The sequence below is a fragment of the Homo sapiens genome, chromosome 1, assembly GCF_000001405.40.
Source record: "Homo sapiens chromosome 1, GRCh38.p14 Primary Assembly".
Lineage (NCBI taxonomy): Eukaryota > Metazoa > Chordata > Mammalia > Primates > Hominidae > Homo > Homo sapiens.
This window is the reverse complement of record NC_000001.11, coordinates 198,307,046-198,326,810: the sequence shown is the minus strand read 5'-3', so window position 1 is coordinate 198,326,810 and position 19,765 is coordinate 198,307,046. Positions and strand designations below refer to the sequence as shown.

The 19,765-nt window shown below is 36.8% G+C and overlaps 1 protein-coding gene across 14 annotated transcripts in view, besides 1 other annotated feature; it reads right to left on the bottom strand.

The window, feature by feature from the left end:
* Positions 1–4,390: 4,390 nt before the first annotated feature.
* NEK7 (NIMA related kinase 7) overlaps positions 4,391–19,765 on the bottom strand; it is a 165,423-nt gene continuing 150,048 nt past the window's right edge. For all 14 annotated transcript variants that reach the window (XM_047446560.1, XM_047446563.1, XM_047446572.1 and 11 more), the window contains one exon: positions 4,391–7,399. In XM_047446560.1, the coding sequence (XP_047302516.1) occupies positions 7,289–7,399 (111 nt within the window). In that variant the 3' untranslated portion in view covers positions 4,391–7,288. The remainder of the gene's footprint in view (positions 7,400–19,765) is intronic.
* Positions 11,658–12,314: an enhancer, noted in NCBI's record as "OCT4-NANOG-H3K27ac-H3K4me1 hESC enhancer chr1:198283627-198284283 (GRCh37/hg19 assembly coordinates)". NCBI's record gives its function as "activates a minimal SCP1, AML or CMV promoter by ChIP-STARR-seq in naive H9 embryonic stem cells {active_cell/tissue: H9 hESC(naive)}" and the evidence as "EXISTENCE:reporter gene assay evidence [ECO:0000049][PMID:30033119]".

Below are 19,765 nucleotides of genomic sequence, written 5' to 3'. Positions count from 1 at the left end.
TGTGTTCATCCTTACCTTCCTGTATGTTAATGTAAACACATTCAAACATAAGCACACTTAGTTTTGTTGTTTTTAAAGGGAACCACCATATATTGGCTTGGAACTCATATTATTATGGAAAGAAGCATCATGGACTTAAGGAAAAGATATAAAGCCAAATCCATCTTTTTATTAATAACAGGAGTGTAAAATAATTTATTCAATCAATGCCCTATTATTCACAGACATTCAGCGTTCCTCTTCTTCCAGTTATTTTTCCACCGTATACTATGCTGCAATAACAATCTTTGGAAAAACAGTGAAACAGAGAGACAATCTTTATAAGCTGCTGCTTTTGTTTCTGTAGAATAGATTCTCCAGATTGCTATGTCAAAGTGAATACGTGTATTTAACACATAATGCCAGATTACTTTTTATTCACAATTCACACTGCCAACAACCAGAAGAGTGCATTTCCTCCATCTTCTCCAACCTTGGAAGACATAACTTTTCATGTTTATTGACTGATTTCTTCTGCTATTGATTATTGATGTTCTTCCACTGTGAATTGTCCACTTAAATCTTTTGTTCCTTTTTTCTATTTGCTTGCCTTTTTACTTACCTATTTCACTTACGAATCTGAGGATATTTACTTGTATGTAGTCCTCAGTTTATTCTTGTATTTTGATTTTTCCTATCCATTGCCATTTATTCATTTTTTTCCAAGTTTTCTGTCTACCTTATATAGGTCACTCACTCCCAAGGTTGTGCTTCCTAAATTTTCTCCTAATAATTTCTGCTTTCTGAAAGAAATTACATCATTAATTCATCTGGTATTTACTTTTCTATGTAGAGTTAGGAATCTTTTTTTTTTTTCTTTCAGTGAACAGTTGTACTAGTACCTTTTAATGAAATGCACATAGAAGTTTTTCCCATAAACAGAAGTCCTCTCTTTCATGTATGATCCAATAATACTTGGGTGTATGTTTGACCTTTTTTGCCCCACCACTCTATCTACCTATATTCCTTGCCAATTCCAAATTGTTTTAATTATTTTTATGGTAAGTTTTCATATTTGATAAGTGCAGCCCATTTTTGCTTTTAAAAATGTTCTTCACTATTCTTTTTAATATATTTTTTCATATGAACTTTAACATCATTCTATCTGGTTCCAAAAAGAAAGTGGGAATCGGATTGATACTGCAATACTAATATTATAGAATGCTTGATATTTATATTAATCTTCCCATTCAATAACATGATCTCTTTCTCTATTTGTTCAGGATTTGCTTTGTGTCCTTCAACAAGATTTTATAATTCTATTCATAGAAGTCGTACACCTTTCTTGATCATTTTTCTAAGCATTTTATAATTTTAACTATCATGATTTTCCCCCATTTAAATTGCTGATTATTGCAAGTAGAGAGGAAAGGTACACCTCCAAACTTACCTTGCGTTACTCCACCCCCTACCCACCCACTTTCATCTTCTTTTGCATCTTAGATAGCAGAGTTACCGCTCACCCCAAGATCTTCACAGGTCTTCTTCCTCTGCCTGGCATGATCTTCCCCTTGTTTGTTCTTTGGCTGAGTCCTTTTACGAATCTTAATTTAAATGTCACTCTCTCGGTCTTTCTCTTCCTTTATAGCACTCATCAAAACTTGCATTTATATATTTATATTTCTGTTACATGTGTTTCTTCCCAACTTGATTTTTAAGTCCATAAAAACAGAATCATTTTGCTTAAGACTGTACATGTGGGTCTAGTACACAGGTTACTTGATAATTGTTTGTGGTTAATAGACCAATCCTTTCTGTGGATCCCATTCTTTACCACCTTTTGCACTCCCTCTCTAAAACCTTCAGTTTCTTCTTCATTTGCTAATTCTCTTAACTTTTAAACTTAATTTTTAAAAAAACGATCTGCTACCACTTCCGATTATCATCTGATTTTTCTCCATATGCCGTCATTCCTATTTTTACCCCAATGTTTCCTATTCTAGTCTCCTGACATGGCTGCTCTGAAGACGTTACGATGTGTTTCTCATTAAGTCCAGGGGCCTAATCTCATTCCTTATCACTTTCAATTTCTTTGCAACCCATGAAAATGATAACTTCAAAATTTTCTTTTGGTTTAGCTTCTTTGTTTTTGCATCTCTTACCTGTTTCTTTGTCCCAGTCTTTCCTGATTTTTGATGTTTTGCATCTATGTTCAACACTCTGTGGTGCTTGGATAATGCTCATTTATTAATTCAGCAAAAATAAACTAGTACCACAAATCAGGCACTGTGCTATTAAGTGTCGAACACCATAGTGAACAACGCAGGAAGTATTTTTCGTTCTAGCATTTATCTATCAGGGAGATTGAAATTAAAGAATCACGCAAGCAATCACTTGGCTACAGTTGGGGTAAGCACTAAATGGAAAAGTACAGAATGTACTTGGTGGCTCCTGAAAAAGGGTATTTAAAGTCAGCTTTGAAAGATTAGTTGGATTTTTTTTTTGCTAGCAAAAAGGGAGGAGCCATTTAAGCTACACTGTTCCTAATGTGAGAAAGAGCCTGGGGCCTTAGAAAAACTAGGCCACGGCTAAAACGGTGAAACCCCGTCTCTACTAAAAATACAAAAAATTAGCCGGGCGTAGTGGCGGGCGCCTGTAGTCCCAGCTACTTGGGAGGCTGAGGCAGGAGAATGGCGTGAACCCGGGAGGCGGAGCTTGCAGTGAGCCGAGATCCCGCCACTGCACTCCAGCCTGGGCGACAGAGCGAGACTCCGTCTCAAAAAAAAAAAGAAAAACTAGGCCAGTGGGACTAATGGAGAGAACAAGGCAAAAGTAGATGGAAATATAGCGAGAGAAGAAACACACAAATTCTCAACACTCGTGTATGAAGAGCTACATTTATCACTATTAGTGCTTGATAAATGTAGCTCTGCTACATTTATCACTATTAGTGCTTGATAAATGTAGCTCTTTATTACGCGAGTGTAGAAGAGAATATGCAGCATTGCATTTAGTCATTATAAAATGCATTACAATTATCCTGTAGAGTTAGGAAATGATATCCCTATAATATATGTGAGAAAGTGAGGATATGAGCAATTAATTAATTTATATACAGGATTTCATTTTGAGAAAGGAGTGAAAAAATGATTTCCTATGCATTGTAACACTCATAGTAAAAATAAGGTACTCGAACCCCCTGGTTACGAATCCTAACTTTAAAATTTCCTTTGACTTTTTCAAGGTTTAAAAATAGATTTAGGTACCCAAGCGAACATTGAAATTGGTATCTAAGAAGACCAGAAAGAAAACTCCCTCAAATAAATCTCTCAATTAAATAGAAACTTTGCAAACATTCACATATTTGTCTGTTAATCATCATTAATTTTCCAGAAATTCACATGTAATTAAAAAGAACGCAACAACTTCATGGAAGTCTTTCGATAACTCAAGGGATTCACTGCAGTTGTCTTTGTTAATAATGTCATCATTCTGATTTTAAAAAGTAATTGCATCAATTTAATGGTACTTACAGCTGTACCAATTAATATATTTAAGCATATATGCCTAAAAACAAGTATACTTTTTTGAAATAAAAATTCATAACTAGCCCCACTGTCTTGTGACTAAAATTATTACAAAATGGGTCATTCTTCATGACGGTATATTTGGAATATAATTCTGATGTGTAAGGTATATCCACTCACTGTACCAACAGTCTGGTAGGTTTCATCCCGCTAAGATCTTTCAGACTCAGTTTTCAGGTATAGCAGTAACCTTCATTTATTATGTGAAGATAACACTCAACATAAACCATCTGTAACATTCTTAGCAGCCCATTACAATGACAGGAATTGAATCTGTCATGTAAATTTTAGACTCTAAAGCAAGCTTGTCCAACCCACAGCCCATGAGCCGCATGCGGCCCAGAATGGCTTTGAATGCAGTACAATACAAATTTGTAAACTTTTAAAAAACATTATGAGATTTTTTTTTGCTATTTTTTCTTTAGTTCATCAGCTATTGTTAGTCTTAGCACATTTTATGTGTGGCCCAAGACAATTCTTCTTCCAATGTGGCCCAGGGAAGCCAAAAGATTGGACACCCCTGCTCTAAAGATTCAAAGCAGTAAGATTAATATTCCTTTTTTTTTTTTTTTACCTTTTAGAAAACGTTTCTCATTCAAAAACAGAAAATGATGTCCTGAAGATGTCCTTAGTTTAATGCATGTTGATAAAACTACTTTTTAGGATTTGTGTAATCTCTGTTATCACCCTTGTCTATTCCAATTCTTAAGCTTCTCCAAAATGGCAAAGTTATGAAAATGCGTAAGAACTGTTTCTGTACATTAAGTATTAAGTAAAATAAAAAATGGAAGACTTTAGGGGAAAAAATCATAGATACCCAGACATTTTACTGTATTCATTTTTATTTTTATATTTTTGTTTATATTAGGATATTATACAATTTTCAAAGCTAATAACAGAAATCTTTTTGTATGTATATTTAAAGCATAACAAAATAAAAGTATTTCACAAAAGATGTCCATATTACAGTACTATTGAAATATGAGGCACAGGGTAAGTATGCATTTGTGGGTTAAAAACATAATACATTCATTTTAAAGAATAAACATTTAATGTGAGTAACATTTTGGTTAAAATAAATATCATAGTAAATGTTAACAGCAACACCTGAAGTATATGGATACAAGAAAGGTGTTTTGTAATAGATACTATGTTGAATGGTAAAGCATTCATGAAATGGCTGTAATATCTTACTAAATTTACAATCATTGCACATTGTTGAGCACTTTATTTATATAGAGATACCCTTCATCCACCATTCCTAAACCTTACCATACAAAACAAAGTTACTCCATATTTTCACCTGGGTAACTGGTACCAATGTCTAAATAAGGTTTAGAATAGATATAGCTTTCATTTTACTGCTCCTCAAATCAATTCAAAAGTTTAACTTAATCAATATAAAATTTACTTATGAACACATATAAAGAACATTTTATAGGTGACTATATAAATTAGAGCTTCAAATCATCTTCATAGTTCTTTGAAATTATTCCATTCAAAATTAAAATTTGATTTTTACACAGTGGTTTCTTCAGGAAAAATATGAACATTTAGATTTAAAAAGATACAATATTCGAAGCAAAAAGTTTCCACATATAGAAATAATGAATTTCCCTGATCATTAAATTCTTCCCAGCTATTTCCTTCTAGCAGATATATTCACTGAGAAGAAAAGCTTTAATCTTTACTTAAAAGTTACTTTGAGGGGTCAAGCTAATGAATTTTAGATCTATGTATTCTTAAAGATTGCAAGAAAAAAAAGAGAGTATCTGTTCCAACCAGAGAACATTTCATCTCAATTATATTACATTAAAATGAACATGACATTAATGGTCAATAAGAATAATTCTTCTCATACTTCTAGGAATATATCTATGGATGCTCAGTATAAATGTTAAAAGTCATTAAGAGTGTGAGAAAAAAAATGCATCTAGCCCTCAGGAAAAACAAACAAAACAGGTTTCCTTTACCTATTCCAAAATAAAATTACCCTTCAGAAACCATACATAACTGATTAGATTTCAGAAAACAAGGGTTCAGACTTTTTGCCCTTTATACATTTTTTAAGTTTACAAATGCTTGAAAGCATTCAAATGAGTGTAAGAAAAACACATATGAAAAACAAAACCAGCAGTTACATCGGCTAAAGGGAAGTGTTCTTTGAACATGAGGTTTTCACGTTGGCAGGATAATTCATCCAAGGTTGTAAGATGGCACAGAGTCCTTTAACAGTGACTTCCTCTTGGCCTTCAGGCTTCACAATTCTGTGAGAAACTGGTCGCCACTAATACGAAAGCATTCAGGGAAAACACATCTGCACAACAGCATTTACGAAATTCTGCCCATTTCCTTAAGCTACACGAAGTGTTACCATCTCAGTCATCTTCATGAACAAATACAGTACTTTACTCAAAAGCTTCTCAATAGAAATGTTAATCTCATAACAGTTCTGGCTGTAGTCATGGCCAGTTTTCATTTTATTAAGCATATTCTAGAATTACAACCTTGTCAAATAAATTGTAACTGTATCAACATTCACAGGTACAGTATAACACACATCCTTTCTTCCTCTTTAACAAGACCAAACATATGCATACAGAGTGGCCCAAATTTTAAAAAGTTTAAAAAAAGTTTTCAATCCAGGAAAAGTATTGGTATACCAAATATCTTTTAAAAGGGTATTATACTCTCAGAAAGTATGAAACATTAATGGATAAAATGCACATACAATATAAATAAGAAAGTAACTTGAAGAATAATATAAAAAAATTTCTGAAGGGGACCGATCAGAACTTCAATAAAACTTATGAATAAAAACTTAGGCTTATATTATAGTGTACAATTATGAGTTAAAATGCACTTAAATTTATAAAGAAATTGAAATATAGTACTGCAAGGTTATTCAAAGAATATTTTTCAAATGTACAAACAACAATAAAAACACACAAAAAAAGCCTTGGGCAATGTGCAACTTTAAAAATTATTATCACACCAGCTAAACAAATCCTTAACCACTTTTTAAATGGATTCATTTATACCATTTCAATGCAAAGAGAATATCAAAAATATTAAAACAAAACAAAAAACTCTTCAGTGTCTGACTCACATTTTGTCCCCAAATCTTCACATTTAATAGTTACATTTTGAATGTATAAGCTAAGAGTTCTAAATGTTTCTCAAATAGTTTGTGTCTACATTTATCATAAGAATCATATTTGAAAACTACTCTGCTAAGAACTAAAACTAGTACTTCAAACGTTTAAAAATAAAATCTTCACAAAAGTTCACAATTGTGTTCATCTCAATGTCCATAAATTACTAAAAAAGAAACAAGTCACATGTTCAGATACTTTTTCTCAGGTATGAGTCTATTCTGATGTGTGCCAAGCTGCACCTTCAATATTTGGCACTGACAGTCTATCTAAACACAATTTATCAGCAGAAAACTGTAAGAAATTCTATAAACCTTTAGCCATTCAAAACCATCATGTTTCATTTTCTCTCCTAACATGCAATTCAGTTATTCCAAAGTCATTTGGGGGTTGCAAGGAGGTGATTTAGGTGACTGGTACAAAATGAAGCTTATATGAAAACTGGTTAAGGATTCAAAGCACACTAGCTCTGAAATATTAATCTTAACACCAGACATAAATGGGGAGGTATGACTTGCACAAAATACTTTCAATTACTTTGGTTACACTCTTCATGATCTTGCATGTTTAGCTGCTTGCAGTGCATGCATGCATCCTCTTTGCTACGTCATAAACATAGGTGACGTCTGGTCGCTTCTCTGGATCTGGGTTGATGCACATATTAACTAACTGTCGGAGCTGTGAAGAAAGAAAAACAATAAAACCTGATTAAGACAACTATTTTTGGTTAGTTTACTGAGAGGAAGAAATTATGAATAGCTATAGATTTTACAAGGAAAGTACATTTTCTGACTAAACATTCACTGTACTAGAAATATATATAAGACTGCTGCCAATGATCTTACAATAAGTTAAATGTTCTATGAAGTGCATTGAATGGACAGTATTAATGTCAACCAAGAAGTATTTTCCACAATCAGAGGCTTTAAAATGGACTCTCTTAATTTTTCAGAGTTTAATCAGAAGATAGCAGTCACTGAGGACACTAGTCTTATAACTATAAGTCTCCAAGTTAACTGTAAATACACACATACATATTTGATCTAGAATCTACTACAACAGACTTAATTGTAAGTTTAAATGGAAGGCAATTAGAGTTGACATACATTTATAATGAACCATTTTGTACAAATATATATTAAAAGTTTTATGTTAAATTTTGTATTAGAGAAAAAAACACTCCTTTAAACTAATTATAATAAATTATATGGGAAGTTATAAGTGTTATTCCAATCCTCAATTGTGTACACAGTATTTAAATGTCCTCACTTTATAGATGAGAGAGTTGAGGTTTACTATTTTATTCTATTTATATCATAGAATAAAAGCAGATTTCAATAAATTAAGAAACTACCCTCCTATATGGTCCTCGATCCATCGGGTAGAAGAACATAGCATTTTATTGTCAATTCTAATTTCCATCAGTTTATGAAACTATGTGTCATCATAACATTGTATATGATCTTCATAGACAATAAACTAAGAGGAAAAACTATATTCTTTTGCTTTGTAGGTCTCTTTAGGAACAGTTTAGACATTTTGAGAATTTGCATTAACTCTGGCCACGATATAGCACTTAGTAAATTTTTAAATTAGCACAATTTCTTCATAGTTCTCAATTTCTACCATAAAATAACTTTCAACCAGAGAAAATACAAGTGATGATTAAAAAGCTTGGGCTGAAGATGTTGCTAGTGCTATGGAGAAGGCTAATGGCACTGAGAAATGTCATTCTGAAAGAGGAGGTGGGTCAAAGAGTCTGCCAGATGAAGGGTCAGAGTTTGGTAAGGAGTACAGTGAAATGGAAACCAGTCTTGTTGAAGGCACTTTGTAGCTCTGTGCCCTTGGGTAAGTCACTGTCTCTGGAGGTTCATTTCTTCATCTATTAAATAGGGAAGTTGGAGTGGATGACCTATAAGGGCTGTTCTCATCCTAATCTCTTACATTTTACGATTCTAGCAGAATGAAATTTAATGAATCAATTTTAGCTACACTTGGAAATTCAACAATGTTTCATAGTAATGTTACACCCACTGGGAGAGCCTGAAGATTTTAATTTATATTCCTTCCAAAAGAGCAGAGAACAGCATTTAAAACCCTTAAGGGGTACAGCAATACACAAAGCATTTTATTATGGTGATCTAAGAGAAATTTACATCAGAAAGAGACTGGCATTTTACCAGGTTACCAAAAAAAAAAAAAAAAAAAAAAATAAATATATCCAGTAATACACAATGCAGAAGAAAGTGGGAAAAGCACTTACATAATGACACATAATTTAAAAGATAATGTGTTCTAATGGGTCATCTAGCTGTCAGATATTTTCTTTAGAGATAAAAACAAGAAAGCAAGCAGAAAGAATAGCAGGAAAAGATAACCATGGTACAAAAAGTTCATTATATTTAGCTAAAATACAAGTAGATGCATGCAGTAAACAATTTTTTGACTTCCTAACACTGCCACATCCTTCAAGCTGGTTCAGAAACCTTAACTTTTCCTGTGTAATAATTCAGAATAGGGTAGAATTTCCAACCACTAAGAATGAATGACTGGCCCTTAAGTTCTCCTGGCATGAGGAAAAACCAAGATTAGAGATATAATGATGCACGTTTAGTTGAAGCAGACAGTGATTCTCTAGTTCACCAAAGTAAAAAGACAAGAATTGGGAATAACAAAAAGGGAGAAAGACACTGAATAAGGTAAATAGGTAGTGGGAGTGCCAGTGAGCAGATGCTTCTAAACTGCTCCTTTAAGGATGGCCTTTCAAAGGGATGACAGGTCAATTGGTGACCTTGCGACAGGCAGAGCCACAGCACCTTGGAGTTTGCTTTTCCTTCCCCACTTATTGATTCAATCTCCACCAAATACGAAGTGTATCTTGTCATAAAGAGTTTCCTTTTCCAGAAGAATCAAAAGGGCTATCACCATATAAAATCAGATATGTGAAATACAGAATATGCATACTTTACTATATTTATGAATCAATCTGTTGATAACTTTTCCTCAATTATTTGTTACATTAAAAAATTAATAAAGTATAAAAAGAAAGAAAACCTACGAAATTAAAATATGCTTTGGGAATGCTCCCACTTATCCACTCCAGCAACATTTCTAGATGATCTACTCTGCAAGAGACACTATGCTGGTGATACTTGATGGCACCGGATAAGACAAAGGACCTGTCCACAAGGGAAGGCTTGTTGTCCAGCATGAGAAGTGAGAGAATGACTCATTTTCCTTTCTAACCATCTGACTCTTTTGTTCTTTCTTTTTGCCCCCTCTTCCATTTTCATCCGTTCATTCAATTGTTCATTCAATAGTTTCCAATGGAGTATTTATTATGTACCAGACACTTTGTTAGGTAGTAAGGATAAAGCAATAATGAAAAATACACAGCACAGGCCCTTAAACAGCCTACAATCTAGCGGAAGATAGACAGAACAAAGAAACAAATGTGAAAGTGAGGAAATCACAGAAATAATTCTATTATAAACTACAAAGTGATAGGTATCTCAAGAGATATCTGTGAGATAAAGGTAAAAGATTAAGTGTGGCTGCCCAGAGGAGGAAATAATTACTTTCCTCTTTTTCTAAAATCTGTTTAACTATGAGTTGTTGCACCTCGTACACGGAGGTATCGATACCCACACAGCTGACAGTATCCTTCTCCATTCCAAGTACTGCAACCCTCATCTTGGGTCACTTTCACATTTATTTGATGTGAATCAATATAAATCTCTTTGATTACCTGACTGTAATCTTCACCTTCATACCAATTTAGTCTCTGTCTTCCAAGGACACAGCCTGTTTCTTAAAATGCTGTGTCACATCAGAAATGTAAGCACACACAACTGTCCTTCTGTGTCTCTCCCTCCCTTCCTCCAGTATGGTTGTGTTTGATTTGACTGAGACCATTTCCAATCCCTTTCATCCTGGTCAGCTCTATCCTTTTGGATTTACATCATTCAATTCCGGCCTAGACCTTCTCTTCCCTGACGTTTTCTTCCTAGTTTCTTTTGGAGGTTTATCTTCCTTTGAAAAATCTACCAAATGTTGGTATGCCCTAAATATTTTCCTTTCCTTAACTCTTTTCCTGTTTCACTCTTCCTTCTTATCTTCAACAACTGCACTTACTCCCATGCCTTCAATAACCACCAACATGCTGAGGAACACAGGTTATCTGTCTCCAGCCTAGACCTCTTTGCAGGCTCTGTTCCCATACTTCCAACTGCCTTCTGAGTAGAGCTGCACGTAAATATTCACATTAAACATGTTTAAAACTGAAATATTAGTATTTTTTTCTCCCCAACCAGCTCTTCCTAACAGCACCTCCAACTTCTTAAGTCAAAAATTTGAAATTCATATCAAACATCTCATCATACTTCCTTCCCACCTGCCTAACCGTCAGCAACCAGTCCTATTGGTCTCAGGCTCCTTAAACCTTTTGTTTGCTCCTGCCACACCATCTCCACTGCCACACTCTTGGATAGTCTTCCAGCTGACGGCTTTGCTTTCAGTTGTCTTCCTATTTCTCTAGCACTGCCTAACTAGCCAGGTGATGCTTCAACTTTAAGCATTTCAATGGCTCCTCATACCTCTTAGAAAAGCTAAGGCCCACCATAGATGGGGAGGAGGAGCCAAGATGGCCGAATAGGAACAGCTCCAGTCTACAGCTCCCAGCGTAAGCGACGCAGAAGACGGGTGATTTCTGCATTTCCATCTGAGGTACCGGGTTCATCTCACTAGGGAGTGCCAGACAGTGGGCGCAGGTCAGTGGGTGCGCGCACCATGCGCGAGCCGAAGCAGGGCGAGGCATTGCCTCACTCGGGAAGCGCAAGGGGTCAGAGAGTTCCCTTACCTAGTCAAAGAAAGGGGTGACAGACGGCACCTGGAAAATCAGGTCACTCCCACCTGAATACTGCGCTTTTCCGACGGGCTTAAAAAAACGGCGCACCAGGAGACTATATCCCGCATCTGGCTCGGAGGGTCCTACGCCCATGGAGTCTCCCTGATTGCTAGCACAGCAGTCTTGAGATCAAACTGCAAGGTGGCGGCGAGGCTGGGGGAGGGGCGCCCGCCATTGCCCAGGCGTGCTTAGGTAAACAAAGCAGCCGGGAAGCACCAACTGGGTGGAGCTCACCACAGCTCAAGGAGACCTGCCTGCCTCTGTAGGCTCCACCTCTGGGGGCAGGGCACAGACAAACAAAAGGACAGCAGTAACCTCTGAAGACTTAAATGTCCCTGTCTGACAGCTTTGAAGAGAGCAGTGGTTCTCCCAGCAGGCAGCTGGAGATCTGAGAACGGGCAGACTGCCTCCTCAAGTGGGTCTCTGACCCCTGACCCCTGAGCAGCCTAACTGGGAGGCACCCCCCTGCAGGGGCATACTGACACCTCACACGGCCGGGTACTCAAACAGACTTGCAGCTGAGGGTCCTGTCTGTTAGAAGGAAAACTAACAAACAGAAACGACATCCACACCAAAAACCCACCTGTACATCACCATCATCAAAGACCAAAAGTAGATAAAACCACAAAGATGGGGAAAAAACAGAGCAGAAAAACTGGAAACTCTAAAAAGCAGAGCGCCTCTCCTCCTCCAAAGGAATGCAGTTCCTCACCAGCAACGGAACAAAGCTGGACTGACAATGACTTTGACAAGCTGAGAGAAGAAGACTTCAGACGATCAAATTACTCCGAGCTACGGGAGGACATTCAAACCAAAGGCAAAGAAGTTGAAAACTTTGAAAAAAATTTAGAAGAATGTATAACTAGAATAACCATTACAGAGAAGTGCTTAAAGGAGCTGATGGAGCTGAAAACCAAGGCTCGAGAACTACGTGAAGAATGCAGAAGCCTCAGGAGCCAATGCAATCAACTGGAAGAAAGGGTATCAGCGATGGAAGATGAAATGAATGAAATGAAGCGAGAAGGGAAGTTTAGAGAAAAAAGAATAAAAAGAAACGAGCAAAGCCTCCAAGAAATATGGGACTATGTGAAAGGACCAAATCTACGTCTGATTGGTGTACCTGAAAGTGACGGGGAGAATGGAACCAAGTTGGAAAACACTCTGCAGGATATTATCCGGGAGAACTTCCCCAATCTAGCAAGGCAGGTCAACATTCAGATTCAGGAAATACAAAGAATGCCACAAAGATACTCCTCGAGAAGAGCAACTCCAAGACACATAATTGTCACCAAAGTTGAAATGAAGGAAAAAATGTTAGGGGCAGCCAGAGAGAAAGGTCGAGTTACCCTCAAAGGGAAGCCCATCAGACTAACAGCGGATCTCTAGGCAGAAACTCTACAAGCCAGAAGAGAGTGGGGCCAATATTCAACATTCTTAAAGAAAAGAATTTTCAACCCAGAATTTCATATCCAGCCAAACTAAGCTTCATAAGTGAAGGAGAAATAAAATACTTTACAGACAAGCAAATGCTGAGAGATTTTGTCACCACCAGGCCTGCCCTAAAAGAGCTCCTGAAGGAAGCACTAAACATGGAAAGGAACAACCGGTACCAGCCACTGCAAAATCATCCCAAAATGTAAAGACCATCGAGACTAGGAAGAAACTGCATCAACTAACGAGCAAAATAACCAGCTAACATCATAATGACAGGATCAAATTCACACATAACAATATTAACTTTAAATGTAAATGGACTAAATGCTCCAATTAAAAGACACAGACTGGCAAATTGGATAAAGAGTCAAGACCCATCAGTGTGCTGTATTCAGGAAACCCATCTCACATGCAGAGACACACATAGGCTCAAAATAAAAGGATGGAGGAAGATCTACCAAGCAAATCGAAAACAAAAAAAGGGAGGGGTGGCAATCCTAGTCTCTGATAAAACAGACTTTAAACCAACAAAGATCAAAAGAGACAAAGAAGGCCATTACATAATGGTAAAGGGATCAACTCAACAAGAAGAGCTAACTATTCCAAATATATATGCACCCAATACAGGAGCACCCAGATTCATAAAGCAACTCCTGAGTGACCTACAAAGAGACTTAGACTCCCACACATTAATAATGGGAGACTTTAACACCCCACTGTCAACATTAGACAGATCAACGAGACAGAAAGTCAACAAGGATACCCAGGAATTGAACTCAGCTCTACACCAAGCGGACCTAATAGACATCTACAGAACTCTCCAACCCAAATCAACAGAAAATACATTTTTTTCAGCACCACGCCACACCTATTCCAAAATTGACCACATACTTGGAAGTAAAGCTCTCCTCAGCAAATGTAAAAGAACAGAAATTATAACAAACTATCTCTCAGACCACAGTGCAATCAAACTAGAACTCAGGATTAAGAATCTCACTCAAAATCGCTCAACTACATGGAAACTGAACAACCTGCTCCTGAATGACTACTGGGTACATAACGAAATGAAGGCAGAAATAAAGATGTTCTTTGAAACCAACGAGAACAAAGACACAACATACAAGAATCTCTGGGACTCATTTAAAGCAGTGTGTAGAGGGCAATTTATAGCACTAAATGCCCACAAGAGAAACCAGGAAAGATCCAAAACTGACACCCTAACATCACAATTAAAAGAACTAGAAAAGCAAGAGCAAACACATTCAAAAGCTAGCACAAGGCAAGAAATAACTAAAATCAGAGCAGAACTGAAGGAAATAGAGACGCAAAAAACCCTTCAAAAAATTAATGAATCCAGGAGCTGGTTTTTTGAAAGGATCAACAAAATTGATAGACTGCTAGCAAGACTAATAAAGAAAAAAAGAGAGAAGAATCAAATAGATGCAATAAAAAATGATAAAGGGGATATCACCACCGATCCCACAGAAATACAAACTACCATCAGAGAATACTACAAACACCTCTACGCAAATAAACTAGAAAATCTAGAAGAAATGGATAAATTCCTTGACACATACACTCTCCCAAGACTAAACCAGGAAGAAGTTGAATCTCTGAATAAACCAATAACAGGAGCTGAAATTGTGGCAATAATCAATAGCTTACCAACCAAAAAGAGTCCAGGACCAGATGGATTTACAGCCGAATTCTACCAGAGGTACAAGGAGGAACAGGTACCATTCCTTCTGAAACTATTCCAATCAATAGAAAAAGAGAGAATCCTCCCTAACTCATTTTATGAGGCCAGCATCATCCTGATACCAAAGCCGGGCAGAGACACAACCAAAAAAGGGAATTTTAGACCAATATCCTTGATGAACATTGATGCAAAAATCCTCAATAAAATACTGGCAAACCGAATCCAGCAGCACATCAAAAAGCTTATCCACCATGATCAAGTGGGCTTCATCCCTGGGATGCAAGGCTGGTTCAACATACACAAATCAATCAATGTAATCCAGCATATAAACAGAACCAAACAGAAAAACCACATGATTATCTCAATAGATGCAGAAAAGGCCTTTGACAAAATTCAATAACCCTTCATGCTAAAAACTCTCAATAAATTAGGTATTGATGGGACATATCTCAAAATAATAAGAGCTATCTATGACAAACCCACAGCCAATATCATACTGAATGGGCAAAAACTGGAAGCATTCCCTTTGAAAACGGGCACAAGACAGGGATGCCCTCTCTCACCACTCCTATTCAACATAGTGTTGGAAGCACTGGCCAGGGCAATTAGGCAGGAGAAGGAAATAAAGGGTATTCAATTAGGAAAAGAGGAAGTCAAATTGTCCCTGTTTGCAGATGACATGATTGTATATCTACAAAAACCCAATGTCTCAGGCCAAAATCTCCTCAAGCTGATAAGCAACTTAGCAAAGTCTCAGGATACAAAATCAATGTACAAAAATCACAAGCATTCTTATACACCAACAACAGACAAACAGAGAGCCAAATCATGAGTGAACTCCCATTCACAATTGCTTCAAAGAGAATAAAATACCTAGGAATCCAACTTACAAGGGATGTGAAGGACCTCTTCAAGGAGAACTACAAACCACTGCTCAAGGAAATAAAAGAGGATACAAACAAATGGAAGAACATTCCATGCTCGTGGGTAGGAAGAATCAATATCGTGAAAATGGCCATACTGTCCAAGGTAATTTATAGATTCAATGCCATTCCCATCAAGCTACCAATGACTTTCTTCACAGAATTGGAAAAAACTACTTCAAAGTTCATATGGAACCAAAAAAGAGCCCGCATCGCCAAGTCAATCCTAAGCGAAAAGAACAAAGCTGGAGGCATCACACTACCTGACTTCAAACTATACTACAAGGCTACAGTAACCAAAACAGCATGGTAGTGGTCCAAAACAGAGATATAGATCAATGGAACAGAACAGAGCCCTCAGAAATAATGCCACGTATCTACATCTGATCTTTGACAAACCTGAGAAAAACAAGCAATGGGGAAAGGATTCCCTATTTAATAAATGGTGTTGGGGAAACTGACTAGCCGTATGTAGAAAGCTGAAACTGGATCCCTTCCTTACACCTTATACAAAAATCAATTCAAGATGGATTAAAGACTTAAACGTTAGACCTATAACCATAAAAACCCTAGAAGAAAACCTAGGCGTTACCATTCAGGACATACCATGGGCAAGGACTTCATGTCTAAAACACCAAAAGCAATGGCAACAAAAGCCAAAATTGACAAATGGGATCTAATTAAACTAAAGAGCTTCTGCACAGCAAAAGAAACTACCATCAGAGTGAACAGGCAGCCTACAAAATGGGAGAAAATTTTCACAACCTACTCATCTGACAAAGGCTAATATCCAGAATCTACAATGAACTCAAACAAATCTACAAGAAAAAAACAAACAACGCCATCAAAAAGTGGGTGAAGGACATGAACAGACACTTCTCAAAAGAAGACATTTATGCAGCCAAAAAACACATGAAAAAATGCTCACCATCGCTGGCCATCAGAGAAATGCAAATCAAAACCACAATGAGATACCAATTCACACCAGTTAGAATGGCAATCATTAAAAAGTCAGGAAACAACAGGTGCTGGAGAGGATGTGGAGAAATAGGAACACTTTTACACTGTTGGTGGGACTGTAAACTAGTTCAACCATTGTGGAAGTCAGTGTGGCGATTCCTCAGGGATCTAGAACTAGAAATACCATTTGACCCAGCCATCCCATTACTGGGTATATACCCAAAGGACTATAAATCATGCTGCTAGAAAGACACATGCACACTTATGTTTATTGCGGCATTATTCACAATAGCAAAGACTTGGAACCAACCCAAATGTCCAACAATGATAGACTGGATTAAGATAATGTGGCACATATACACCATGGAATACTATGCAGCCATAAAAAATGATGAATTCATGTCCTTTGTAGGGATATGGATGAAATTGGAAATCATCATTCTCAGTAAACTATCGCAAGAACAAAAAACCAAACACCGCATATTCTCACTCATAGGTGGGAATTGAACAATGAGAACACATGGACACAGGAAGGGGAACATCACACTCTGGGGACTGTTGTGGGGTGGGGGGAGGAGGGAGGGATAGCATTGGGAGATATACCTAATGCTAGAAGACGAGCTGGTGCAGCGCAGCAGCATGGCACATGTATACATATGTAACTAACCTGCACATTGTGCACATGTACCCTAAAACTTAAAGTATAATAATAATAAAAAAAAGAAAAGAAAAGCTAAGGCCCTTGGCCTGGCATAATATGAGCCACTGACATCAGTCTCCTGCTTCCCTTTCCAGGCTCCTATTTAGCCCCAAACTCCTTCTCCCTTCCCCCACCCCACCCTATTTTCTAACCATAATAAAGCACTTGTAGTTCTGTGCTTGCCAAACTGCTTCATGCCCCTATATCTTTGTTTATGCTGCTCCTCTGTTTATAACACCTCCCTCAAAACCCCTAGCTCTCTCACCTGTCTGCCTTACCCATGCATCTGCTCACTGTATATCTCTTCTCTAAAGTCCTTCCTCATTACTGTGTTTGCTACGTGGAACTTAACTCTGTTCTACTTGGCCCCCAGTGTACCCTTCACATACTTGTATTAAAGTCCTTATAACACTTTATTGTACTTCATTAAATGTCTGTTTTCTTCTATTAAACTGCAAGATCTAGAGGATGGATACCGGATGAACAGTAAGTGCTCACTGGCTTGCTGAATGAATGAAAGAATGAATGGGTAACTTCTGGCTGAGGAAAAAAGAAAAGGTTTTGTGGAGGTGGCATCTGAGCTGAGGTTTGAAGCAAGAACTTAATCTTAATATATAAAAGGGGGGGAGAGAATTCTAAGCAGAGGTAACAGAATTCGATTCTTGGCCAAAGAAAGTATGATGTGTGTGAAAGCAATGGCAAGTACTTATGCATGACTGAGGAGCAACAGGGATGAAATGATAAGCTGAGGTCAAAGAAAAGAAAGATTTAAGGGTTTGAAATCTATTCACACAGACAATGGGAAATCAGTATTTAAGGCAAGAGGGAGAAATCATGAGTCGTGCTTCAGCACATATTTTCTTGGTACAAAGACAGACAAAAAGAGAACAATGCCAGCAGAATGCTCAATTAAGTTCCTTTAAGATTTCAGGCAAGAAATAGCATTCATCAGAAATATTCACCAGGGTATCTGAAATGGGATAACAGAAGTGGTAACACTAAAGGAGGTGTGGCCTGGAGAGGGCAAGAAGGATACTTTGAGTTTTTGAAGTCATCACATTTGAGATACTGACACATTGAGATTTGAGTAGAAATATGAACGCCTGAATTTTGGGTTTAATTCTGCATTCATATCGAGATAACTGAATTGTATACATTAAATAACTTTTGTGACTCTACCAGATCCAGATTATGAAGATAAAGGAGACAGCTCAAGTAAAAAGTTGTAACCTATATTAAACAATTATTTTTAATTGTATGCTTCTCTTCAATACTCATGTGTTGATTTAGTCTTGCTTAATGGCAGGTACCATTCTGGATAAAAATATTTCATATTTATATAGAACTTATCATTTTACAAAACCTTCCATATAATTTTAACAATTATTTTTAAAGCACTGTAATCTCCCACAACAGTCTCATTTTATAGATGAAAAATCCAAGAATGAATTAAAAAATTAAAGGTGGAACTTGAGTTGGAACCCAAGGCATTTGATTTTTTCCAGGCAGGTCTTTTACCACTTGCCATTGTTGACAGCTTGTTTACTTTTACTTTTACCTACTTGGTCTTTTGGTTTGAATTTCTCATGATGCTTAATACAGCTATATATACATGATGATTATTAGTAACACTAATTTCAAATCATTTCCATTATAAAGGGATGCCACTTGATTTAAGGTATCATCTGAGTTCCAGTCAGGAGACATGAGTGACTAGATATTAACAGGTCATCATAGAATGGAGAAAGTAACATAGTTTATTCCACTCAGAGATTGGTCTGAGTTTTATTCAGTGAACGCAGTGGTAAGATGGCTCAAATTTCACTAAGGGTGTCCACCTGACATGTTGTTTGTTTTCCCTTAAGCAAATCGGCAGAATAGATTCTTATCAAAGAGCATATAACCTTAAATAGTGTGCCGTGTAGTGGGTCCTATGAAATTCTTGTTGAGAATTAAAATTTAGGGAAGACTCTGTAATGAATAAAATTTATCTTTACAACTTTGGATAATCTAAGTTCTATCCTTTAATTAAATTAGACCACCAGAAGGCTGCATCCTGGGAGCACATTTGTTTATCCTGCTGACAAAGTGCCTTTCCAAAACTGTGCTTTGATACTTGCTTTTGGATTTTATCAAACATCACTTAGGTATTTGCTGTAAAATTGATGTTGAAGACACTGCTTAGTACATTACTCAAAGATCTTCATATGAGATATTTATACCATAATTTAGTAGGAGAAAACTTTGTCTTCTGTGAGGAACTATTAATAGTATATTTCCCCCTTATAAGCAGAAACTAATTTGCTTACTATGTTTCCCTTTGTGCCATGAGATAAAGGAAGCAATAACTAAATGAGAATCTCAATCACAGCAAGTCTGTTGGTCATAACAGGTATACATTTACATTCCCTTCTATCCCTGG